At 47.2% G+C, this 25,598-nt stretch overlaps 2 long non-coding RNA genes across 2 annotated transcripts in view, besides 6 other annotated features; one reads left to right on the forward strand and one right to left on the reverse strand.

Annotated features, from left to right (window-relative positions):
• The window catches only part of LINC03062 (long intergenic non-protein coding RNA 3062), a 79,977-nt gene extending 56,238 nt beyond the window's left edge, over positions 1-23,739 (forward strand). The window contains exons 4-6 of the long non-coding RNA NR_024280.1: positions 2,013-2,179; positions 5,898-5,968; positions 23,167-23,739. This is a non-coding gene — a long non-coding RNA (long intergenic non-protein coding RNA 3062). The remainder of the gene's footprint in view (positions 1-2,012; positions 2,180-5,897; positions 5,969-23,166) is intronic.
• On the reverse strand, positions 881-8,446 carry LOC105376140 (uncharacterized). The gene is made up of 3 exons (XR_001746827.2): positions 5,922-8,446; positions 5,297-5,392; positions 881-964 (listed from the first exon to the last, which is right to left on the reverse strand). It is a non-coding gene; the product is annotated as an uncharacterized LOC105376140 (long non-coding RNA).
• Positions 2,326-2,827: an enhancer, noted in NCBI's record as "H3K4me1 hESC enhancer chr9:92313261-92313762 (GRCh37/hg19 assembly coordinates)". NCBI's record gives its function as "activates a minimal SCP1, AML or CMV promoter by ChIP-STARR-seq in naive H9 embryonic stem cells {active_cell/tissue: H9 hESC(naive)}" and the evidence as "EXISTENCE:reporter gene assay evidence [ECO:0000049][PMID:30033119]".
• Positions 2,828-3,327: an enhancer, noted in NCBI's record as "H3K4me1 hESC enhancer chr9:92313763-92314262 (GRCh37/hg19 assembly coordinates)". NCBI's record gives its function as "activates a minimal SCP1, AML or CMV promoter by ChIP-STARR-seq in naive H9 embryonic stem cells {active_cell/tissue: H9 hESC(naive)}" and the evidence as "EXISTENCE:reporter gene assay evidence [ECO:0000049][PMID:30033119]".
• Positions 5,303-6,502: an enhancer, noted in NCBI's record as "CDK7 strongly-dependent group 2 enhancer chr9:92316238-92317437 (GRCh37/hg19 assembly coordinates)". NCBI's record gives its function as "activates an origin of replication core promoter dependent on BRD2, BRD4, P300/CBP, MED14 and CDK7 cofactors, with strong dependence on CDK7, by STARR-seq in HCT116 cells {active_cell/tissue: HCT116}" and the evidence as "EXISTENCE:reporter gene assay evidence [ECO:0000049][PMID:35650434]".
• Positions 5,319-5,638: an enhancer, noted in NCBI's record as "active region_28555". NCBI's record gives its function as "activates an Ori minimal core promoter by ATAC-STARR-seq in GM12878 lymphoblastoid cells {active_cell/tissue: GM12878}" and the evidence as "EXISTENCE:reporter gene assay evidence [ECO:0000049][PMID:35858748]".
• Positions 16,255-16,755: an enhancer, noted in NCBI's record as "H3K4me1 hESC enhancer chr9:92327190-92327690 (GRCh37/hg19 assembly coordinates)". NCBI's record gives its function as "activates a minimal SCP1, AML or CMV promoter by ChIP-STARR-seq in naive H9 embryonic stem cells {active_cell/tissue: H9 hESC(naive)}" and the evidence as "EXISTENCE:reporter gene assay evidence [ECO:0000049][PMID:30033119]".
• Positions 21,577-21,788: a silencer, noted in NCBI's record as "fragment chr9:92332512-92332723 (GRCh37/hg19 assembly coordinates)". NCBI's record gives its function as "represses an EF-1alpha promoter that drives an FKBP-Casp9 reporter gene in an ReSE screen in HepG2 liver carcinoma cells {active_cell/tissue: HepG2}" and the evidence as "EXISTENCE:reporter gene assay evidence [ECO:0000049][PMID:32094911]".
• Positions 23,740-25,598: the final 1,859 nt, after the last annotated feature.

The raw sequence follows: 25,598 nt of genomic DNA on the forward strand, positions 1-25,598 counted from the left end.
AACTGTAACAGGGCACTGAAAAATTAAATTAATTGCAACTAAATTGACTTAAAAAAGAATTCACCAGGTTTTAGTTCCATTTGGACGTTCAGTCCTATTTTGATCCGGTGTGACCTATAGTCTCTGTCACTTTTGGTTTTTTGTTGTTTTTTGAGACGGAGTCTGGCTCTGTTGCCAGGCTGGAGTGCAGTGGTGCAATCTCAGCTCACTGCAACCTCCACCTCCCAGGTTCAAGTGATCCTCCTGCCTCAGTCCCCTGAGTAGCTGGGACTACAGGTGCGCGCCACCATGCCCAGCTAATTTTTTGTATTTTTAGTAGAGATGGGGTTTCACCATGTGGGCCAGGATGGTCTCGATCTCTTCACCTCGTGATCCGCCTGCCTTGGACTCCCAAAGTGCTGGGATTACGGGCATGAGCCACTGCACTCGGCCGTCTCTGTCACTTTTAAAAATGACACCTGGGACCTTGACAGGCTGTAGCCCTGAGGCAAGTGCCATACCTTTAGATGGTCTCCAGTTCTAGGTTCTACTAAAAGAAGACCTGATAAAGTGGCTATATTTTAAATTCTGGAAAGCCTGGCCACCCCACGAAGTCCCTGGTGAAATCTGCATGTCACTTAGGTTGGCAATGCCTGCGCCCTCCCTAGTGGTGCCAGCAAGGCAGTCATTTCTCTAACCTACCAGCTGCTCCTGTGAAAAGGGAGCATTCAGTGCAGAAAACTAGGAGGGAAAGGAACTCACCTCCACTTCCTGGGTGCTGATGAAAGATGCTGACATCTCCCCTTCCTCTAGGTGCAGAGGGTGCAGGCCCATTTCACAATGGGGAAGACTGATGCTCAGAGAATAGCCAGTATGCTTGATCATACCGGTGGCATGTGGCAGAGAAGGCTGAAGTCCAGGTTCTACTGTTGGCAAAGCTTGGGCCCTTTCCACTCTGCTGTGCCTTCCTCACCTCCACAGTGACCTGGACATGAAAGGCCCTCTTGGATGAACTGGTAGTGTCACTGGCAGCAGCTGCTAGGCTACCAGGCTGGGCTGGCTTGCCATCCTGGCTTCCCCACTGGCCGGGTATGTGGACCTGTGTGATGGTGGATTGTATGTGCCAACTTGGCTGGGTCATGGGGTGCCAAGATATTTGGTCAAACATTCTCCTGGGTGTTTCTGTGAAGCTAACTTTAAATCAATGAACTGTGAGGAAAGCAGATTGTCCTCCCTAATATGGGTGGGCCTCATCAGTTCATTGAAGACCTGAATAGAGCAAAAGGCTGATCTTGCCTGGGAGGAGAGAGTTGCCTTTGGACTTCTCTGCACCATCAGCAGACAGCCTTCAGATGCCTGCAGTGTCAGCTCTCCTGGGGCTCCAGCCTGTGGCCCACCATCCAGAGTTTGGAACTTGCCAGTCTCTGTATTCATGTGAGCAAAGTCCCCTAGACTTTCTCTCTCTATACACACTTTGCTGGCTATTTTCCTCTGGAGAGCCCTGACTCATACCGTTGCACTGAGCTTTTTGACTTTTCGGATCTCCCGCTTTTCTGTGCTCTGCAATAAATCACCCTTGAATCACAGAAATGGGATGATGAAGGCTGGTGGTCTTTAAACTTTAGCAAGAACCACAACCATTCAGAGGTTTCTTAAAACTCAGATTGCTGGGTCTCAACCCAGGAGATCCTGATTCAGCAGGTCTGGGATGGGGCCTGGAATTTGCATTTTTACATGTTCCTGGGTGGTGCTTTGAAAACGACTTCTGTCAATGACAGTCCGGAACAATGACTGACCTGCTCTAAGCATCTGATAAACAGTGGCTACTGTGCATACTGACCCATATGTTCTGAGAAATGTTTCTGTTGTGGGAGGACTAGCAGTCTTGTTGGGATTATTTGGTGTGGACGCAGCTCCCAGGTATCCCTGAACTCATTTGCAGGAGTGGTGACTTCGGGGAGACTATAAAGGAAGAACTTGGTACCCACAGACCCACCCTAATCAAGCTTGTCATGGTCTCTCCCTGCTTACAGCACAGATCTTCACGGATTGCAGCATTCAGGACCTGAGTCCATGCCCATGCAGAGGCCCATTGCAGTGTTTGCTTAGCATAGCTGCATTTCCAGAATGTAGGCAGGAGAAGCTGTAAAAGATTCTCACCCTGCCATGCACACTGATGGCTCACATTCTAAAGAGTCAGGTGAGTGAAGTTTAACTGGACTTTGAAGACTGAAAAATTTTTATGTTTGGTACTTTTTAGAATAATTGAGTGTATTTTAAAACTCTGATCAAAAATCGTGGCTGGTTTAAGGGGTTATGCCAATCTGGATTCTATTGTTTCAAAAAGGGAAGAAAATCAAAGAGGCTAGTCTGAATCTTCAGACTCTTTGGAGATTGAGAGCCAGGGCCTATGGTCCCAAATTTGGGAGAAAATTCTTTTGAGATGACACATTTTATTTTAAGGTGCCTTTGTCAAATTCCACAGGGCATCAGGAGCAGTGTTCTGCACCCTGAGGGTGGGGCGTTAGCTGTGCCTGCTGCTGTGGGATTCCTATCACAGGGGACTGGGTCACCATGGAATGACTGATGAGCTCCTTCTCTCCTCTGTGTCCGGAACATAGGCAGCAATGGCACTGCATACACAAGGGTAACTCACACAGCTGCCTGCGACCACCTGCCCTTCACAGCCCAGATGAGCCATCATTTTACATTAGTAACTGCTTTACTTCCCCACGCCAAAGGCAGAACTAGAGTGCTGAGCTGCAGCAAGTGACCCCAGTCCCATCCAAGCCCATGGCCGACTCAGACGCGGGTGGGCCTGGGCAGCTGCTGGCCTCCACAGTGAGGAGAGGGACAGTGAGCGGGTATGGGCAGAGAGCCCATGGCAGTCCAAGGACCTCAGCCCAGGGCAGCTCCCTTGACTTCAGGGTTTTTAACTGAGCCCATTGTTGGGAAGAACCCTGGGACAGTTGATGGACACAGCCTTGGTCAGTGGCTGCCCAGCTCAGAGGCTCTGTGGAGGCTCCTGGGGACGGGCAAGGCTGGGCTGCTCGTGCCACGCTATCAGGGACTCAGGAGGGGTATAGACCGGGATTAAAACCCCCTATTTGATTCCTGCTCTCTTCCCAGGCAGGGGGAGCTTGGATATCGCTCAGGGTCGATTATGTTTAGGATTAAATGGGGATGCTATAGTCTTTTGGGGAGCTGGCAAGAATGAGGACTCTGACACAGCAGGTCTGGGGTGGGGTCTGAGGGTTTGGCTTGCTACCCAGCTCCTGGGAGAGGTTGTTGGTTTACAAGCCACACTTTGAATAGCAGGGTTCTAGTCTCCATGGATGCTCCTCTTGATAGAGACAAAAGCCAACTTTGTAATCCTGGATGTAAATTTGAGTAGGGAAAGTCTCTCCTTGTTTTCTAACTTCCGTTGGCACTGATTTTCATCTCTTAATGACAAACTCTGTACTGTTAGGGGCCATATGTATGTGTGGCTTCAGCAGTGCTTGGCAAAAATGTCCCTGTGTACATGAACTCTTGATTGGCTGAATGAAAAAGGTCAGTGATGTCTCCCGCTAAAGCATTTATAGGAGCAAGGCACATTTTCCAGTTTGGTAAAAGAGGAGGTCAACCTTTGCATGTGGGTCTCGTGAGAGATTTCCAATTCGTTCCAGCGACAGGCCCTGGATTCTTAGAACGTCTGCCTGGTGACTTACCAGCTTGAATTTCTCAGGCCTGCCCGCCAGGCTCTCCTAGTCTGACGCAGAACATGTCACCAACTTCGTGGCTACCATCTCCATTAGAGGCATCGATTGCTTCAAATGCTCACTCCTGATGGAAGCCAAGGGTCATAGTCCCAAGTCCACACTTTCTCTCCTCTCTCAGTGACAATCCAGTCCCAGTAGGACGGTGACCCTGGGACTCGAGCTGTGTTCAGAGTCACCTCTTTTCGCTTTGATGTGCTCACTTTGCCTGATTTGAATTCACTCAGTCTTCCTCTTTCTCTGGCACATTCAATGCTTTGGGTTCAGTTCGTCTTGCTACCCAATTCCCTCCAGGGCTGACCATTTCCAAACCTTCAACCCTCACTCCCTTTCTCCCAATCCCACTCCAGCCTCACCTACTCCACAGACCTTTCCAGGGGACGTTCAGCTGCTGCCCTTCTCTGTCCTCCCATGGACATACATTACCTTCTTCAGTTGCAGCTGAGGTGTCTTCACATTGCACTGTTTTCTCTAGTGTGTTTGTTCACGTGTCTTATTTTTGGCTTTCTTTATTAGCTGGAAGGGCCCTGGTGCGCCCACATCCCTCTCCAGAGAGTTCTGTCTGGTGATTTGCACACGTGAGGCCAGGAGAATTGCCATGTAAGGTCTGAGTGTCCACCTCTAGCTCTTTCTTGTCTCTTAAAGAAACAAAATACAGGGGCCGGGCACAATGGCTCATGCCTGTAATCCCAGCACTTTGGGAGGCCGAGGCCGGAGGATAGCTTGAGCTCAGGCATTCGAGACCAGCCTGGGCAACATGGTGAAACCTCATCTCTACTAAAAACACAAAAACTAACCAGGTGTGGTAGCACGTGCCTGTAATCCCAGCTACTTGGGAGGCTGGGACACGAGAATCACTTGCACCTGGGAGGTGGAGGTCGCAGTGAGCCGAAATCATAGCACTGCACTTCAGCCTGGGTGACAGAACAAGACCCTGTCTCAAAAATATAAAATTAAATTTAAAAATAATAAAATAAAATAAAATAAAATAAACAAAATACAGGGATGGGGGTGTGTGTTGATCCATGTGGCACCTCTTAGTGAGACTGCAACAATCCCTTGATCCAGAAATAATCCCTGCTTCTTGCCCCTACATCACAATTTACAATGTGGCACAATTATTCTGTAGCATTTGCATGTTAAATGGGCAAGAAAACTTAAAAAAGAATTCATTGAATGTCTCTGGTTAGAAAACAAAGACTCACCTCCTTTGTCAGAGAAGTGACCTTTAGAAACCAGGCTTGCAGATGATACAAGATAAACTAAGATAAACTTAACACCTGCAGTTTACACTGACATTCACATTTGCTAGCCTTAGGGACTCTCTCCAATGTTGTGAGGCTTTTCACATCACTTGAAAAGGAGCAAGAAAGACCTAGAATTCTTGAGTTTCATTAGGAACCTCCAGGGATGGAGGGGGCTGAGTATTTCTATCAGCCTGGTGGCTTGGAGCCCTGAGCTAGTGGCCCTCAAATATTTTAAGGTCGATTTGTGTCTGTCCTGAACCTCATTCACATGCAAATTCTTTTTAAATAGAAATTTGTAAATGGCGTGCACACCTCTAAGAGCGCTGCAGCTACTTGTCCAGTGTCTTGCCTTCTTTCTGAGTTACTGTTGGAGCCACGGCCAAAATTAGAGAGGCGTTTTCTGTAATGCTGAGAAAAGCAGGAAGCGGTGAGACGCTTGTAGCAGAACACGCAAAACTGTTTGGCGGTGGCCCCCCCTCCACCTCCCACCCACCGCTCTGTAATTTCCCCAGGCAAGGCTGAAGGAGCCTTTCTTGGAAAACCCCTGATAACGTTGCTACACAAAGGTTGGGAGAGTCCCTGACGGCCTGTGAGGGACCATGTGGGGCTGGGGGTGGATAGGGGAGCTTGACTCTGCAGTCCCCAGGGCAGTCTGAGTCCCCAGTGCCTGGCGTGGGTGAGCTCAGGGCTGCTCCGTATGGGGGCATCCAGGCCTGGCTGCTGATGCCCTGTGGCTGAGGACACCTCCATCTGCATGAGCCAGTTTGGAAGTCCAGCTTGCCCCCCAGGCAGTGGAGGCCAGTAAGGGCTTCTCCCCAGATTGACCACTCAGATCAAATTGATCCAGGTGTTGAGACAGAATTGGCCCCATTTTCTGCTAATTTCCATTCTCTGATTGTGCTGCCTGCTACAGGAGTCATTTTGGATTTGGGCTGACCTGGTAGACTTCTGAAAGACAGTGCTCTGGGTTCAAGTTGTCCTCAGGTAAGTTATTACCTAATTGCCTCCAGCACCATCCCGTTCCAAACCCTCACTCCCTCTTCTTCCTTTCCCACTCCAGCCTTATCTTCTCTACGGTCCCTCTGCAGGTTGCGTCCAGCAGCTGGACTCTTCTAAGAGCGTGGTATCAGTGCAAGATGCTATTTGGTGCTTCCTAGGTAGATACTGTAGTAAGTCCAGGTTTTATGGGACTGATGCTGGAGTGCCTGCTATGAGAAAGAACACAGAATTACAACACAATTTACATTCCCCCCCACCCCCACCTCTAGGAGGGGTTAGAATGTGAACTGCTGGCAGACTGAACCCACTGCAGTTCAAATCCCTTACTTTGTCAAATTTAAGAAAAGGTATAATAATGATTATCTGTTGCTAAGGCACCTCTCAATACCATGAGTGGCCTGTGTAGGTGAAGGGTCTTTAGGCCTAGTCATCATCAAGGCATGGAGGGGTCCGTGTCATAGCTAGTAACATGGTTCTAGAACATTTCAGAAGCACCAACACCATGCTTTGGCCATGGCATTTATTTTAAAATAGTATCCCCATATGTGATAGCAATACTAGAGGAAATACGTAACAGAAGGGATCTTCCCACATTCCATCATCCTGGCAAAACAGCTGCTCTCTTCTCAGTACAAATGCATGTTTCTAAACAGTTGTAATGACAACCTTGGAGTGAGGAAGGCCTTTCTAAGAAAGACACAAAAACCTGGAAAAGATTGACACACATAAAAATAAAATAATGTGGGCAACGCATTTCCAAGTCTAAAGACAAATGGAAATGTGGGAAAATATTTACAACTCATATCGTAGACAAGGAGCTAATTTTCCTAATTTATGAAGAACTCCTATAAATCAATAACAAAAAGACCAATAGTTCAAAAGGATTAAAATATATTAATAAAAGTTTTCAGACAAGGGAATACAAACAGTTTTAAGCACATGAAATATGTAAGAGCTATATTGAAATTTTTAAAGAGCAGGGTTTTTTAAAATTTTATTTTTATTTTTTGAGACAGAGTTTCATTCTGTGGCCCAGGCTGGAGTACAGTGTCGCGATCTCTCAGCTCACTGCAACCTCCACCTCCCGGATTCAAGCAATTATCCTGCCTCAGCCTCCTGAGTAGCTGGGATCACAGGCACCTGCCACCACTCCCAGCTAAGAGCAGGGTTTTTTGTTAATGTAGGAAATCCGAAGGCCCAAATTCTTTGTGGAAGAAGAATAAAACTGGACTACTCACTCTGTCCGAAGGAAAGATCTGTTAGAAAGCTAGAGGAATTAAGACGGTGTGATGTTTGCACACGAATGGACAGATCAGTGTAAAAAAAGACATTGCTAACTTAAAAATCACACAATCTATAAGTTTGGAAAAGGAGACTTGATGGTTACAGCCATCAACGTGGCCATCCCTTAGACCAGGAAGCTTGCCTTTGGCCAAAGCCAGAGACAGGCACTCTGAAGGAGAGATTAGGGCAGCAGCTTTGTGCTAAATGGGTTGGATAAACATGCATCTTCAACAGGTTATAGGAGGAGCTAGGAGTATTCATGAGGTGGTCCTGATGCATGTGTGCTGAACCCACATGTATGTAACATACAACTTATGTCTACCTTGGGGTGGAGACTGAACATTTAAATGTATTACAGTCAGGCCCTATACGTCAAGAGGTATTTTCAGGACATGAAGGGATTCAAGTGCACAGCCTCTGTAAACCAGCCAGAGCCAGTGCTGTAGTTGTGGCTGGTGGAACAGGCGTTCAGTTACTCAGCCTCGGTGAGCTGGATGGGTTGTAATTGCTTTAATATTGCTTATCTCAAGGCTGGAGCTTGTTTAGCTGCTAGAGAAAGAGAACCCCAAAAGGAAGAGAGTTTAATGAGACATGTCTGACCACCTGTCCCATCATGGAACTTAGTTTTTAAGGTGTTTCTGGGGTCTCCTTGGCCAAGAGGGGGTTTGTTCAGTCATTAAGGGGTTTAGAATTTTATTTTTAGTTCCCAAATATAGGGTCTAGGAACAGTTATGTATGGTTATTTGTATGGATACTTGATTTATGCAAAAAAGATACTATAGTACAGAGGGAACATTTTCTTCCCTCAATAAATGAGGAATAAATTTTCTATCCATATAGAAAATAGTTCATCTGACTCCCACCTCCTTTCAAACTCAGAATGAATTGCAGTTCTAAATGCAAAAGGCACAAACAACAAGACTTTGAAAAATAGAATATTTTTATGACCTTGGAGCAGGCAAACATTTCTTAATCAGGACACAAAAGGTTCAAAAAGGAGAAATGTTGATAAGTAGGACTCTATTAAGATTAAGCATTTCTGTTCCTCCGAGGATAACATTACAAGATTTAAAAGGTAACCTCAGAATGGAAGGAGATATTTGCAATACATAAATCTGACAAAGAACTCTTAATCAAAATATACAAAGAGCTCTTACAAATCAATAGGACAAGACAAAAAAAAAATCAATGTGAAGCATTGGCACTGCCCAGAAAAGGAAATCCAAATGTCCACGAGCAAAAAGAGGTGTTCAGCTTCATTAGTCACCGGGGAAAACCACAAGGTGATATCCTCATGTACAGCCACAAAATTGGCCAAAGTGAAAAAAATCCCAAAACTTACAAGAGCCAGTGTTGGTGAGGGTGTGGAGCAGCCAACCTCCATCCACTGCTGGTGGAGGGTACGCACTGGTGCAGCCAACCTCGAGGCTGTTTGGCAGTTTCCACTAAAGCTGAGCACACACCTGCCCTGTGACTAGGAGAAACAGTGTCTGGAAGGAATCAAGAATGTTACGTGAATGGGTTCACTTTGTGCATGCCTCAGTATGTAGGATATACTTCAATAAAAAGTTTAAAAAAAAAGAGTAATGAAAAAAATCAAACTTTGCAGAAGTTTCAGAAATGTTTTAAAAATGTGGTAACACTTGTGTAGGGAAATAGGCATTCCCATATATTGCTTAGTATAAATAGTTTAAACAAAAACACTGGTCACTACCCACTAATATTTAAAATGGGAGTTAAAAATGATGCACCAACTGAGAAAGGTCATTTGGCATTCTCCATCAACGTAACAAATGCAGTTCGACCCCTAGTTACCTCTAGAGAGACTTGCGCAAAATGATGTTGAGGAAGAGTCCAACTCTGTAAAATATTTGAAGAGATTTATTCTGAGCCAAATATGAGTGACTGTGGCCTGTGACACGGCCCTCAGGAGATCCTGAGAACTTGTGCCCAAGGTAGTCGGGGCACAGCTTGGTTTTACTTTTTTTTCTTTTTTTTTTTTGAGACTGAGCTTCGCTCTTATTGCCCAGGCTGGAGTGCAATGGCGCGATCTTGGCTCACTGCAACCTCCGCCTCCCAGGTTCAAGCGATTCTCCTGCCTCAGCCTCTGTAGTAGCTGGGATTACAGGCATGTGCTACCACACCTGGCTAATTTTGCATTTTTAGTAGAGACAGGATTTCTCCATGTTGGTCAGGCTGGTCTCCAACTCCCGACCTCAGGTGATCTGCCCATCTCAGTCTCCCAAAGTGCTGGGATGACAGGTGTGAGCCACTGCGCCGGCCGGTTTTACACATTTTTGAGAGACATGAGACATCAATCAAGTGCATTTGAGGTGTACATTGGTTTGGTCTAGAAAGGCGAGACAACTTGAAGGGGTTGGGGGAAGTGGGGAGCCCTTCCAGTTACAGGTAGATTTAAAAGTTTTCTAATTATCAATTGGTTGAAAGAGTTTATCTAAAGACCTGGAATCAATAGAAAGCAATTGTCTGGGTTGAGATAAGGGATTGTGGAGACCAAGGTTCTTATTATGCAGATGAAACCTCCAGAGTAGGAGGCTTCAGAGAGAATAGATTGTGAATGTTTCTTATCAGACTTAAAAAGGTGCCAGACTCGTAGTTGACTCCCTCTTGGATCAGGGAAAAGGTCTGGAAAAGGGAAAGGGCATTCTTTATAGAATGTAGATTTTTCCCCACAAGAGATGACTTTGCAGGGCAATTTCAAGATATGGCAAGAAAATATATTTGGGGTTAAAATATTTTGGTTTCCTTCCTTGTTACGTGATGTTATGCCAGAGTCAGGTTGGAAAGTAAGCCACCACGTTATATAGGGTTAAATAAAATCCCTCTGATGAGACTTTATGGTTTGTAGAGTGTGACTCTCCAGGCCCCTTAAGTAGGAATTTGGGCAAAAGAAGACAAACAGTCAGCATTTAGTCTTCAGTGATGTCACTTTGTGTGTAAAGCAAAACTTTGAAAACAACTTCAAATGTCTCCTGTTAACTTAGGAAGATTCATTGAATAGTTCTTCATTTTGCCCCTACGTGGGAAGAGGAGCTGAGCTCAGTGTGTATAGTATGGTTTTTGGGATAGATTTCCTGTAATCATAAACGTCTTGATTCTCTGGGTTCTTTCCAGTCACTAAAGGCTATCATGAGTGTTAATAATTTTGAAAATAGATTAGTTGTGTAAATGAAAATATGTAAGCCAAGCAACTTGGAAAGGAGTGTTTGAAAAATTTAACATATATGCGTGTGTTATGTTGCTAAAAAGATTTTCCCTTCCTTGTAAAATGACATAGAATTTTCAGAGATATAAATTGATTATTTTTGAAGTTAAAAAAATCATTCTTATATAAGGTTTGGTCACAAGAAATTGCATTGTTTTAAAATTTTTTAAAAAGTCATCTGAGGAGCAACAGAACATTACATCTTGCAGAAGATTTGAAAAGCATTTGGTGGACATGCATTTGCTGAATTGTCCCCAGGGAAGATCTCGGGGAAAGCACTGACTATAAATCTAGGCTGCAGTTAGTTTCTGTTGACAAATTTATCCCTAATTGCTACATTGAAAATTTGTCTTCAGTGCCCCCTTGTATTTGCATCTGGATTGTGTGCGGTGAAATGTCCATTTTCATATGTTAAACCTCCCCATGGAAAGGTTGAATCATGAAAGGCAGAGCTGGGAGGGGTGTAGATTGCTCTGGGGGTTCTACCTGGTGCCAGTTCTGTGACAGAGGGCTGGGAGCTGGGGCTGGTCTCGGGAAGTCCCACCCTCCTGCTTCTCCTCTTTCGGTTAGACAACACTAGCTTGATCACTGGAGGAAGAACATCTCCATCTCCTTATTCTTCCCGGGGCCCAAACCAGGGGGTACTTATCTGGCCCAATGGTGAGGCACAAGCACAGAGGGAGGTGAGGGCTGGAGCGTGGGCCAGGTGCCTCCCTGAAGGCCGGGTCTTCCATCCTTCTCATCACTGTGGGCTTCAGGAACAGGGTTTTAAACTTTTGGTTCAGAGCCATTAGTGGGAAGTGACCAGTGTTTTTGTTTTTGTTTTTTTAATGTGTGGGAGAGCAGAGCAGAGTAAACACCAGTGCATTCTGCCTGTGGGAAGTCCGTGTTTTGAGCCTTCTGTCCTTGGCGGACAGCCATGTCTGGAGGTGCCGGCTGACAGGCAACATGCATTTCTTTCTTTCTTTCCCTTCCCTTCTTTCTTTCTTTCTTTCTTTCTTTCTTTCTTTCTTTCTTTCTTTCTTTCTTTCTTTCTTTCTTTCTTTCTTTCCTTCCTTCCTTCCTTCCTTCCTTCCTTCCTTTCCTTCCCTTCCTTCCTTCCTTCCTTCCTTCCTTCCTTCCTTCCTTCCTTCCTTCCTTCCTTCCTTTTTTTTTTTTTGACAGAGTCAAACTTCAGACTCACCTGAGACTCACCCTCTGTCGCCAGGCTGGACTGCAGTGGCGCGATCTCGGCTCACTGCAACCTCTGCATCCCGGGTCCGGGTTCAAGCAATTCTCTCATCTCAGCCTCCCAAATAGCTGGGATTACAGACTCGCGCCACCATATCCAGCTAATTTTTGTATTTTTAGTAGAGACGGAGTTTCACCATGTTGGCCAGGCTGGTCTTGAACTCCTGACCTCGTGATCTGCCCGCCTCGGCCTCCCGAAGTAAGATGCAATTCTTTATGGGGCCAGAGAGAAGTTCAAAAGCCACTGTTCTAGAAAGAGTTCTCTCTGGCATTTTATTGAAGCAATTGCAAGTTTGAAGTCAGTGCTAGCAGTGTTTGGTAGTCAGGCCACCAGTGAGAACTCAGCTTCATCATTCCGGAAACCTCTGTGCTTTGCTCCCCTCCATGGAAGAGCCTCACCAGTGAGCCATTTGGGTTCTCTTAAAATGAGACAGAACATCATTGCTTGGTGCTGATCAAGGAACACAACTCTGTCCTTCCTCCCAGGGAAGCAGTCGCCATAGGCTGGCACAGACTGGTGGGGTCAGCCCTGCATGGTGAACAGTATGGGTACCCACCCAGTGCCCCCACCCAGAGGCCTGTCATCAAGAGAGATCAGCCTCTGAGCAGCCAGTTCAGGGGACATTGGTCATTGAGGAGATGAGGTGCCACTGCCACTTCCCCACTCCTCACCTGGGTGGCCTCCCAGCTCCCACCTCCTTCTTTACCCTCCAGACCTAATCCATTCCCCACTGGGTGTGTCAGACCACAAAGCCTCCTGCTTAAAGCCATTCGCAGGCTCGCCACTGCTCCTAATGCCTCCCGGTGAACTCCTTGCTGCTGTCCACATGGCCAGCTCCCCTGGCCCCTTCTGACCTGCTCACTGTCTCCCCAGCTGCCCACCCGACCCCAGGCCAGCTCATGCCGCCTGAGCATCTCTGCCACACTGCTTCTGCATGCTTCTCCTCACCTTTGCATGCCCGGCTCCTGGTCACCTGCATTTCAGCTACACAGTGCCTCTTTAGAGAGCTTCCCTCCTCCCATCACTCCTGAAGTCCTGTCCTCTCATTGACTTGTTGTCCTGTTGATGCCCTCTTCACTGTTCTGGCTGACTATGGCTGCATTTAAAAGCACCTCAAAGCTCAGTGGCTTAGAACAACAATTTGTTATTCTCTCCCATGGTGCTGTGGGTAGATTGGGCTTGGCCACACCATCCTCACAATGGTGAGGCTTCAGATCCAATCAGACAGTGCCCAGACCTGGAGTCTCTGAAACCTCTGCTGAGCGGATGTCCAAGATGGTGCCTTCATCTATGTGCCTGGCCAAAGATGTTGGCTTTCAGCTGTCCTCTCGGCCTGGGATCTCAGGAGTGCCCGTATGAGCCCTCTCCACTCAGCCTCTCCTAGCATGGTGGCCAGGTCCCAAGAGGGAGCATCCCAAGGGCCAGGTCCCAAGAGTTGACAAGGAGCTGCAAGGCCTCTGGATAGCCTGGGCTTGGAAGAATCAGAACTTGTATTGGTTGACAAAGTCACAGAGGTTGGCCCAGAGTCAAGTGGGAGAGATGAGGCCCTTGAAAGGGACTGGCAAGGCCACACCGCGGAAGAGACAGTGGGATGCTAGATGTTATTCAGCCATCTTTGGAAAATGCAACCTGCCGCTTCAGACTCACCTGAGGTCATTGCTTCCACTTCTTCCACTTCTTTTTCTTTTTTTCCTTCTTTCTCTTTCTTTCTTTCTTTCTTTTCTTTCTTTCTTTCTTTCTTTCTTCTTTCTTTCTTTCTTTCTTTCTTTCTTTCCTTCTTTCTTGTCTTTTCTTTCTCTCTTTCTCTCTTTCTTTCTTTCTTTCGCCCACTCCAGTGGATTGGAAGCAAGAGCCTTGTCTAAATAACCCACAGTTGGGTTCCATCACCTGGAACATCCATGCTAAAGTGGAAAAAAAAAAACCATGAAACTTTCCTGTTGAGTTTGACAGGGATATAAACTCTATCTGATTAATATCAAAGCAATACGTCTCTTGGCCTTAGTGCCATCTTCTTGGAAACCTCTGCACCGCGAGAGCCAAGTGGAGAAAGAAGCAAAAGCACAGACTGAAGCTCAAAGGAAGAAAGATGAGGCAGAGGTCCAAGTAAACCGCTAGGTTTTTGCACCCATGGAGGTGCCAGGAGCAGAAACATGAATGCCAGAGGCTGGAGATGCTGGTACAAGTTGTTGGACTGCATGCTACTGTCTAGAGCTTGTTTCAATGCATCTAGAACTTCATCGCCATCTGATCGCCAAGACCACCTCTGAGACCCACCTTGCTCATGTCCATAACTGTCCATGTTAGTCCTTTGCCCTGGACCTGTGACACTCTGGACTATTTCTGTGTTCACTTGTGGCCGAGTATAACAACCGTAGACTAAATCACCTCTTCTGCTGTCTTAGCTGAAGAAGCAATACGTTTGGAGGGAGAAGCCTAAGTAGCCAGGATTGCTGTTAAATATTTAGGAGCAGACTGCGTCTGTATCCTCATTTATTCTTTTCATTCAACGCATAGTAAATGACATTCCTACCACATGCCAGTAACAGCACTGGGTTCTAGGGATTAAAACAAATGTGAAAGAGCCCCTTTCCCGCCCCTGTTCTCTCTGTTGGTGAATCTCATGTGACCTCCAGTAGTGACATTACTTACCCTTTATCAAGCATGTGCTCCATGCCAGGCATTGCACTGAGATGGGCGTGCACATTGACACTGGTTTTTTGAATTCTGACAACGAGCTTGTCAGTTGGTTGTCCACATTTCTTTATAGACATGGATTGTGGCCTTTAGAGAGGTTGAGTGATGAGCTCAGAAATCTACAGCTCATTTTCTTTACGATTACAGCATGCTGCCACCAAGTACTGGTACCCCCGTCAATGGTAGCTGTTAGTGTTATCGGGCCTGCTGAAGTCACGTGGCCTCTGCTGCTACCCTGGGCCATGCACGCCATGTTCGCGTGGTGGCTTGGTGGGGGTCCCGTGGGCAGTAGGTCCAGTGCGAACTCATCTTATTTCAACAGTCAAGAGTCAAAAGAAAAGAGTCCGAAAAGGAAATCCAACCTATGACTAAGAAGTCCACAAAGTCCGTCAGGGGCTTTGTGTGAAAAACTAACCTGCTTAGTGTCAAGCTTGTTTATTCTTGGCTAAAAATGACTTCCTGTTTCTAAGAAAAGAGGCCTCTGGTGGATAGAAAACATTTCTTACAAAACAACTTTTGCTGAGCTCAGGCCCAGTGACTCAATGCCATGTGGATTATATTTCCTATAAAATGCTCCAGGCTGAAAAATCAAGGGTAAAAGTATTGGACAGGGGCTTCTGGAAGTGGGTTGTCCCCAGTGTAGACGGGGCTGTTTCCCCACACTCCTTCCTGGGGAGATGGAGTGCCCGGTCGGGGGAGTCCAGGCAGCGAGGATGAGAGGCCTTGCTTTCCCTTTGCTCTGGGGGCCTGGGGTTGTCTTCATCTGCTAGGGTCTCTGCAACGAGCACCACGGACCATTCAAGGCAGCTTAAACAACCACGTCACAGCTTAAACATTCATTGTCGATCGATGCTGCAGGTGAGATCAGGTAGGGGCTGGGGCTCTTACTGAACTTGTACCCTGGCCTCTTCCCCTTCCCTGCCCCACACCTCTCCCTCCATTTTTGCTATCCAGGAGCAAACCCTTTAGAAATCACATGAATCCATGCTTGAGCTCTGCTTCCAGGAGCTGGATTTATGGCACCAGCGTGATGCCGGGCACAGAGTAGGTGTGCAGGAAGTTCCTGTGAGTGAACGAGGAGGGGCACTTGCTCTCTCAGACACCAGGCAAGCTTCTCCCCACACGAGAGCTCTCAGATTCCCCACAGGTCCTGCAGGTGAGCAGTTTGTCCTCACATTACCAAGGAGGGGTAAAGGAAAGGCGAGCCATTTGGCCAGGCTGTGGCAGGCCAGGGATCTCAACACAGGTCTGTGTCACCACCCAAGCTGTATAGCTGTCCCCATGGCCTAGGTGAGGGACTTCACCTCCTTGTGCCTTGGATTTCTCATCTGTAAATTGGGAACATTGTTTGTTTGTGACGATTTAGTGCAGAACACATAGCCCAGCAGTGACTGCTAGCCCTGAGCGATGGCTCAGCACGCTGGGGAGGACTAGACCAATACCTCTGTACACACGCACACATATGCGCACACACGCCACTCACTACACACCCATGTACATACCCCCCATGCACACATGCATACACACACACAGGTACATCCACAATACACCCACATACGCATATGTATGCACATCCACACACACTACACACCCACACACGTGCCCAACCCCCATGTACATGCATGCACCTACACACCCATTCACACACCCTCATACATACACACATTCAGCCACATCCACACATACCTATGTACATACCCACATATATACATGCATGCACATACACTACACATACACACACACATATATGCACACAATGCATATACACTCACACACATATGCACATACAAGCACACCACAGAATGCACATGTACACATGATATGCAAGTACACAGTACACATATATATGCACACACATGCACACCTACATATCTCTATACACACATACACATAGAGGCAGCCACTCAGAACACTGGCATGTGGGTTCAATTAATTCTGGCTCGTGGCAATGTTGTTTGTTTAAGGAAGCTTACGGTGAAAAACAGTGTCACAAAGTCCCTGGGCTCCCTCCTCCCTCCGCGGCCAGAGCTACTGTTGGAGCACACGTGGGGCAGAAGCACAGCTCCATGCCCATGCCTCACAGAAGGTGAGCAGGCAGCTCTTTGGAGAACTTGAGGGTTCTCTGGGTGGCCCTGGGCATTAGGTCCCCTCTGTCAGTCCTTGCCACATGGCCATCCCCTCTTTGCTGGTTGCTGGGGACTCACATTGAGCACTGAGAAAAGCCCCTTTGCTCCACCCCTGTCTAGGGAATGCAGGGACTTTACTCCTGCTGGGGCATTTCAGGAGCCTCATGCAGGGGCAGAAACTCTGGTGGCTGCTCCCACTGCCGGATCACAGTTGGTGCTGTAGTCCTCCAACCTGGCCTGGTCTAGAGCCTCATCTGGCTTTTTTGAAGTGCCATCTTCAGCTTGAAAACAGAGCCTGAGGCAAAGGCTCCTGTGATGACTGCAGGGAGTGGAAGCCCAGGAAAGCAGGGTGAGGGGCAGGGGCAGGGTGGGGTGTCCTAGGAGGACAAGCAGCCACATGGCCACAGGCACCTGTGCCTCTTGTGGGGCATTTCAGATAGGCCGAGAGAACAACTGGGCTTCAGAACAGCCCAGCAGTGGGGCAGGGGAGGGAGGGAATTCCCTACCAGGCATCTCTCACCTCATCAAGACCCCCATAGCATTAATTCTCCTACACTCACCCTGGGGAAGCCAGAGCCTGCTGGGTTCAATCTGGCTGAGGGGTCAGTGTGCAGGTGCGGTGGCCCCTCTCTGCTAGTGGACACATGAATGGGCTCTGAGATCCCTAGTGACAGTGACATTGCTCTCAGGGACCAGGGAGGCATGGCATAGGTATAGATCCAAGGTGTCATGGTAACAGAAGCCCTCACGGGAGCTATGGGGAGCTATGGGGAATCAGAAGCCATTGCCCTCACCTCCATTCACAAGCAGCAGTGTCCATAAGAACCATCTTGGTCCTAGTCTGGGAAGGTCAGGACCACCCCTTGAACCTCATTTCAAATAAGCATTTTCAGTGATGTGGATTCCTGGGGGTCACAGGTGAGACTGGTCCAAGGTCATTACTTGTACCCAGGTAATCCCCTATTCCCCTGGAAAGTGGGACGTTTTAGTCATCTATTTCTGCTTAACTAATTATACCCCAAAACACAATGGTTTGAAACAGTAGCACTTATTACCACCCAGTTTCTGCAAGTCAGGGATCTGGGCATATACAATGGTGCACAGGCTTACCTGGGTCCCCTGCTTCAGGGTCCCTTGTGGTGTTGACTGGGACTGTTGTAGTCTTTTTTTTTTTTTTTGAGATGGAGTTTTGCTCTTGTTGCCCAGGCTGGAGTGCAATGGCGCGATCTCGGCTCATTGCAACCTCTGCCTCCTGGGTTCAGGTGATTATCCTGCCTCAGCCTACTGAGTAGCTGGGATTACAGGCATGTGCCACCATGCCCAGTTAATTTTGCATTTTCAGTAGAGATGGGGTTTCTCCATGTTGGTCAGGCTGGTCTCAAACTCCCGACCTCAGGTGATCCGCTCGCCTTGGCCTCCCAAAGTGCTGGGATTACAGGTGCGAGCCACCGTGCCTGGCCTGTTGTAGTCATTTTAAAGCTTGAATGGAGGAAGCTCTGTATCTCCGTCAGTTCAGGCTGCCATAACAAAACATAGCACAGACTTGGTGGCTTAAAAAATAGACATTTATTTCTTACAGTTCTGGAGGCTGGAAGTCTAAGATTGTGGTGCTGGCAGATTCAGTGCGTGTTGAGGCCCCGCTTCCTGGTTCATAGATGGCCATGTTGTCTCTGTGTCCTCTCATGACAGAAGAAATGAGAAAGCTTTCTGAGGCCTCTTTCATAAAGACACTTAATCCCATTCATAAAGACTCCCCCCTTATGACCTAATCACTTCCCAAAGGCTCTACCTCCTAAAACGATCACGTTGGCATTAAGATTTCAGTGTGTGAATTTTGGGGAATGCAAGCATTCAGTCCATTGCATACTGCATCCTTACAAGCAGGTTCAGTTCCTCCCAGCCTGTTGGACCGAGGGCCTTGGCTCCTCATTGGCTGTTGGTTGGAGGCTGTCCTTGGCTTCTTGCCCTTTGGATTTCTTCAGCATGACAGTTTGCTTCAACAAAGTGAGCATGTGAAGGAGAGCAAGCTCAAGCATGAGGAAAGTCACAGTGTTTCATAGCGCTGTCTTGAAAGTGGCCTCCCATCACCTTTGCTGTGTTTTGTTCATTAGAAGCTACCCACCAGGTTCAGCTTCCTACCTCCGCAAAGAGAAAGGGTCATTAGAGTGTAAACTCTAAGAGGTGGAGACCCCTGGGAACCATTTCGGGAGCTGCCTAACTTAGGCTGTTCCTGGCTCTTAATAATTTATGTCCTACAAGGTCCCCCCAAATCTCATTACATTACAGCACCAGCTCAAAGTCAAAAATCTCATCATTTAAATCAAGTCCAGGGGATGAGTGAGGCTCCTTAGATGAGGTTGCCTAAGTACAGATCCTCAAGTACAGCACTTTTCAGTCTTATACTCATGAACTCAAGACAAAAGTTATCTTCCCCTCACTCACTCTACATGCAATGGAGGGACAGGCATGGGATAAACAGTATAATCTTTTCTGTTCATAAAAGGGGAAATGGGAGGCACACAGTAGGCACTGATCCATAGCAATTCTGAAGTACAGCTGGGAAAACATTGGAATTTTTTTGGTTAGGTCTCAAGGCCTGGGAATCATTCTCTGTGGCTCTTGGCTCTACCCTCTGGGCTCCTACTTTTGTCCTTTTAGTATACTTACTTTTTTATGAAAGACAAAATGTGTTTGCCTCTGAGCAGTTCTCTCAGCCTCCTTCCTGCCGGTCAAACGTTGAGGTCCAATTGCCTCTTTTCATTTTGCCCTGGCTCTGTCCCTTTTAGTTCAAGCTGGAAGTGCTTTTGCTGATGTAGTTTTTTTCAGACAATTTGTGGGTTTTCTATGAATCTCACTGGAACCCACTTCATTAGATAAATTAAACTGTGGCTTCAAAGCCACAGTTACCTATCTCTTTGAGATGTGTTCCTCTCTAATTTGGACTTCCGCTGAGAAAGGTTAGGGACGACACCCTTATGCTTTTTACAGACCCCATGACTCAATAGAGAGGAATTGTGGGTACACAATTTTTTAAAAGGGCCCTTCAGGTGTCTCAATTGTACTCTGATATTATGACTGTTCTGAGATTTTAACAAAAGATTGCACAATCACATATTGCCTTTATTTCTAGAAAATTTTGAATGTTGCTTAGATATTCTTAATTTTAGCATCTTTTGCTATTTGCAAAGGATGAGAATTTTCTGTGTCATCAAGTCTTTCTAACAGTTCTTTCTTCAGTTTCACTTTCCCCTCTCACATTTTATTATAAGCAGCAAGAAGAACCAGGTAATGCCTTCAACATTTTCCTTGAAGTTCTTATCTAGACTACACAGTTTGCTAGGTCCAAGTTCTGCACTCCGCATAACTGCAAGCAGCAGTGTAGCTAAACCTTTTGCCACTATGTGATGAGAATCCCCTTCCTCCAATTTTCTATAACATGTCCCTCACTTCCTCTTGAACCTTCACTGGCAGTGTTCCCAAAGCTGAGATTTCTGCTAACAATATGTCCAAAGCAGTTTAGGCTTTCTGTATCACACACCTGAAAATCCATTCACTTTCATCCACTGTCCAGTTTTGCAGCCACTTCTGCATTTTCAGGCCTTTTTTTTTTTTTTTTTGAGACAGAGTCTCTCTCTGTTGCCTAGGCTGGAGTGCAATGGCACAAACTTGGCTCACTGCAACCTCCGCCTCCCCAGTTCAAGCGATTTTCCTGTCTCAGCCTCCTGAGTAGCTGGGATTACAGGCATGCACCACCACACCCAGCTAATTTTTGTATTTTTAGTAGGGATTGGGTTTCACCATGTTGGTCATGCTGGTCTTGAACTCCTGACCTTGTGATCTGCATGACTTGGCCTCCCGAAGTGCTGGGATTAAAGGTGTGAGCCACCATGCCCGGCCTCAGGCATTTTTTACCGCAACATTACATTGATACTAAAATCTGTCTTTATTATCTATTGCTATATAATGTATTAACCCAAAACACTGTATCTTAAAACAATCATATCTATTATCTCAATGTCTGTAGCTCAGGAATCTGAGCAAAACTTAACTGGATCCTCTGCTTCAGGGTCTGGAACAGGCTACAGCCAAGGTGTCAGTCACAGCTCTGTCATCTCAAGGCTCGACTAGGGAGGGATCTACTTCCAAACTCATGTGGCTTCTCGCTCATAGGCTGTTGAACAGAGGGTTTCAGTTCCTTGCCACATGGGACCCTCCAGCATGACAGCTTGCTTCATCAAAATGAGCAAGCTGAGAAGGCAAAAGACAGTGAAAGCAAGATTAAACTCAGTCTTTTACAAGGTGACCTTGGAAATGACATCCTGCCAGCTTCGTCATATTTTATTAATGTTTATTCATTTCATTTATTTGTCATTCACTAGGTCCAGCTTATGTGCACACACATACATGCCCACACACAAACACACATACATACACTCATACACTCACACATACACACATATACATACCTGCACACACATACACTCATATGCATTCATACACACACTCTCACGAACACATACACTCATACACCCATACACATATTTGCATACACACTCATTCATATACACACATATACTCATCTACACACATACATGCACATATACCCACATACATATACTCACACACACAGAAATATAGTCTCACACATACACTCATACACATACATATATGCACATTCCCATGTACATCCATACACATTTACACGCACCACACACATTCATACACACATAGACACCCACACACCCACACATGCATAATTATACACTTACATACCTAGTCACATACACATAGACACACACACATATTATATATATACACACACACTCACATACATACACACATATATACCTCCCCCACACACGTGGTCACACAAAATATGCCTAGATGCATGCATATATGGGGAAGGTATGAATTTTTGGAGCTAAGAATCATTGTGAGCCATTTCAGAAACTGCCACAGGGCCTAAGACATAAGAGGTCCCCATGGAGATGCCTCCTCTGCAGTTTTTGGGGCAGGAAGCATATACTACTTTGTTTCATTTCTTTGGGGGAATGGAGCCTTCCCCATACCTGTGGCAGTAGCTGTGGAGGCTTCACAAGGCTTCATGTCCAAGAGGGCACCCTCTCCTGGCTGTAAGTTGGTGCTGGCCGTGGCTGGGAGCTCAGCCAGGGTTGTGCCACAGAAAGCCCCTCCTTGTGCCTCTGTGAGCCCTGGGCTTCCTCACAACATGGCAGCTGTTCTCTCAGAGCAAGCGTTTTGAGGGAGTGAGCCAGGCTAATGCCTTGGCAGACATGGCAGGCCATGTCTGCTGAACCCTGTTGAGGGAGGCAGGCACAGAGGTTCCCTCAGGTTGGCAGCAGGACCTGGGTTCCTCCTCTTGAAGGGTGAGTGGCAAGTTCACAGTCAGAAGAACATCTGAGGTAGGGTAGGCTGCCAAGATCCGGTGGGGAATACACTGTTCCCTACTAGCTAATGGAATGATGTAATCCCCCCAAAAGAGTGAGCCGGTAACTCATTACTTTCGCTCCCAAAGAGCACATGTACAACCTACTAGGTAGGTTGGGGACTTGGACTCAGGAAGGCCTCTAAGGGCAGGGGTCTGGCCCCAGGGAAGTGTTGTGGGCAATTCTTTTAGGGACACAGAAAAATCAGAAAGAGTTTGGTCAGCACATGACCACACTCACCCCACTTCAGTGAAGGTAACTGACTCACCTCTGAGACTTGCCTTCAGCCAGGGTGTTCAGGGCAGTGATTGACAAGTGGAGAGGTATCCTCAGGGGACACCAGGACATTGGGGTGAGTCACTGGGCAGAGCCATCAGAGTGATCCTGGTCTCCTCCACTCCCAGAGGTGCCAAGGTTGCACCCTCGCTGAAGACAAGGCCCTGGGGCACTTGGCTGAGGCCACTGGACTGGGCTTTGTGGACATTCCATTAGCTAGAGGGAAGAGAGTCGTGTCTCTAGGTTGTTTCTGAGCATGACAGGGGCCACGTTCCTTGAAGGTGGTTTGCAGATTCCAGCAGGGAGAAAGCTGTGCTGGGTGGTCCCTGAAGGCCTGGGAGGCAACGGTGGACATCGTGAGACCAGCTCGAGCTGGGGTGTGGGGCCTGAGTTGAGATCAGCAGAAGGGCTGCTTTCCTCCCACATTCCAAGTCTGCAACTTCAGGGCTGGCTATCACTATCTGGCCCTCTCCAAATCCTCAGGGGCATTAGGGTCATTGCCTGGTGTGTAAACCATTAACAAAATGTAGTAGGTTGCAAAAATGGCCTCCTCAGCATTTCATATTGGCTCCTTCGTATTTCATGTTTCCCAATATCTCCCAGCTGACTGCCCTGCCCACTGGCTTCCTGGCTCTCAGACCCTCTGCTCCAGCACAGGCCTCTTGCTGTGACTCTTCTCCGGTACCGTCTTAGCAATGGTTTTCTCCACAAACTGAGCAAAAGCCTTTATCTGCTTTCAGGAACTTTGGGAAACTCCTTCAACTGGCTGGGGAGAATATTTTCTGGTTTTGATCTTTTCCCTAACAAGCTTGGTGTGTTCAAACAACTCTCAACATCTCACTGTGCTCTATCTTCCTCTTTTATAAAATGACAATCATGCTAACCAGCCTCTCTATCTGCAGGGCTGGATGATCCATAGCAAATATCCCCTGATGGATAAGCATTGTGCTGAGAGACTTGCCTCCATCAGCTGTGTAAACCTCAGGATGACCTGCACACAGGTATACTAAGGCACACAGAGACCAGCTCGTAGTCAGTGACAAGTAACTTGCCAAGAGCTGTGGTTTAAAAGCATGTCTGCAAATTCTTGGACACTCTTGTCATCCAGAAATAGAGTCTAACCCTCCTCCCTTGAATACGGGCTGGCTTCAGTGGTGGAAATGACAATGTGTGAGTTTGAGGTTTGATTAGAAAAGATGACACAGCCTCTGCCTGACTCTCAAGGCCCTTGTTCTTGGACATTAGCTGCCATGCTGGGAGGAAGCCCAGCAGCCACACAGAGAGGCCACGACAGCCGAGGTCCCAGCCAAGCCAGCATCAACTGCCCAACACGTCAATGAGTGATCCTGCAGAGCCTCCCATCTCCTAGCCACCGCAGCTGATGCTCTGAGAGCGGAGGCAAGCTGTCCTTGCTGGGCGCTGCTTAAACTGCAGATGTATGAACAAAATAAAAATGGTGGTTATTTTAAGACACTACATTTTGGGTCTCTAGGTGTTTGGGGGTGGTTTTTCTCTAGCAATAGGTCCCCAGTCTTGTGCTTTTAGGGTCCTTGTCAAGAAGAAAAGTACAATGAGGAGGCGAGCCATGTGCCCCTTACTCTATCCAGGTCTGCTGCCTAATGTTCATCCCACCCACCCTCATAAAGCTGGAGCCTGAAGCAGGCTCTGAGGGCTGCCTGGTGCTAAGTGCTGGTATTTCTGGTGCTTGGTTCACCGCTGCTCCCTGGCAGTCACTGGAACTGCTTAGCTCAGTGCACTGAACCCACATCATTAGAGGAAAGGAGGTGGCTAAGGGCATCTCACCACACCACGGGGCCACTAAAGCCAATGCCTGGGCTTGGAAGGCAGTATTATCTTCCTGCCCTGACCCCCAGCATCTTACAAGTATTTTCATCTTCACAAGGGAGCAGGAGGAAAGCAGGGACGGGGCTCAGTTGTCGCGTGGGGATTCATTGTTGCAGCTCTTCCCTTCCTGGCTATGGGGCTTTGGGCTGAAGCATCTCAGCCCCCTGTGGGAGACAGATCTCAGGTCTTTAATCACTGTCACCTGAAAATTCAGGGACAGACACCTGCAAATATTAGCTGAAAGGCGTTCTGTGTTGCTGAATTCCACACCAGCAGTACCCGGACTTATCAAGGTGGGATTCTTGGTGTGTGCAGTCCAAGAGCTGAAGGACTTCAAGCACTGTTGATGGCAAGTATATGATGGATCATATCATACATTTGCGATGTATTTTTTCTTTTTTAAATTGTAGTGAAAAGCACACAACATAAAATTTACTATCGTAACCATTTTTAAGTGTACAGTTCAGTACTGTGAAGGACATTCACATTGTTATGAGGCCGATCTCCAGAACTTTTTTGTCTTACAAGTCTGAAACTCTATACCCACTAAACAGCTACCCCCTGTTCCATTTTTGGAAACCACCATTCCACTTTCCATTTCCCATCTCTGTGAATCTGACTCCCCTAGGTGCCTCCAGTAAGTGGAGTCATAGAGTATTTGACTTTTTGTGATCTGCTTGTTTCACTGAGCATCATGTCGTCATGGTTCATCCCTGTGGTAGCATGTGTCAGAATTTCTTTCCTTTTGGGATGGAGTAATACTCCATGGTGTGGCTAGACCACATTTTTTTCATCCATTCATCAGCTGATGGACACTTGTATTGCTTCCACCTGTCATCCACTGTGAGTTACACTGCTGTGAGCATGGGTGCACACATGCAATGCATTTTTTGTGGTCTGTAGGTCTCTGGGGATGGCCCCTTCCCCCTGGGCAGACTAAGGGCACTGTGGGCCCCTAGCCCTCGGCCCTCCTCGGGAGTTTCCTGGCAGGACAGACATGCACGAGGCCTCTGGCCTCCCTGGTAGGGCATGCTGGAGCAACCTGGGCAGACGCTGGCTCCAGCAGCTATCAGATTTCCTCACATTTAGAGGCCTAAGGGCCACTAGATACAGTCCATGAATTACTCCTAACTAGTTTCCTGACAGCCATGGCTGTGGTCCCACCTGTTGCAAAAAGGGAGTTTTGGGATTCCCTGGCCAGGTGGAGTCTGAGGGTGTCCAGGTCCAGTGTGTGTAAGGGCAATACAGGGCTCACTGCTCTGGCCTCCCCTTGGACGTCTACTAAATCTGCAGTGTCAGACCCAGCTGATTTAAGAAATCCTAAATGGAGCAATCCAAGAAACCACTTCATCAAGCCAACTTTACTGCAGACAGATATGAAACTGCCGACTTCTGGTCTGGCTGCACAGCTGTGTAAAACTGTTTAGCAACCTGGGTCAACAGATACTAAGCAGAGTGAAGAATGGGTCGTAAAATTTGATAGGCTGAT

The sequence above is a fragment of the Homo sapiens genome, chromosome 9 (genome assembly GCF_000001405.40).
Source record: "Homo sapiens chromosome 9, GRCh38.p14 Primary Assembly".
NCBI classification, from domain to species: Eukaryota; Metazoa; Chordata; class Mammalia; order Primates; family Hominidae; genus Homo; species Homo sapiens.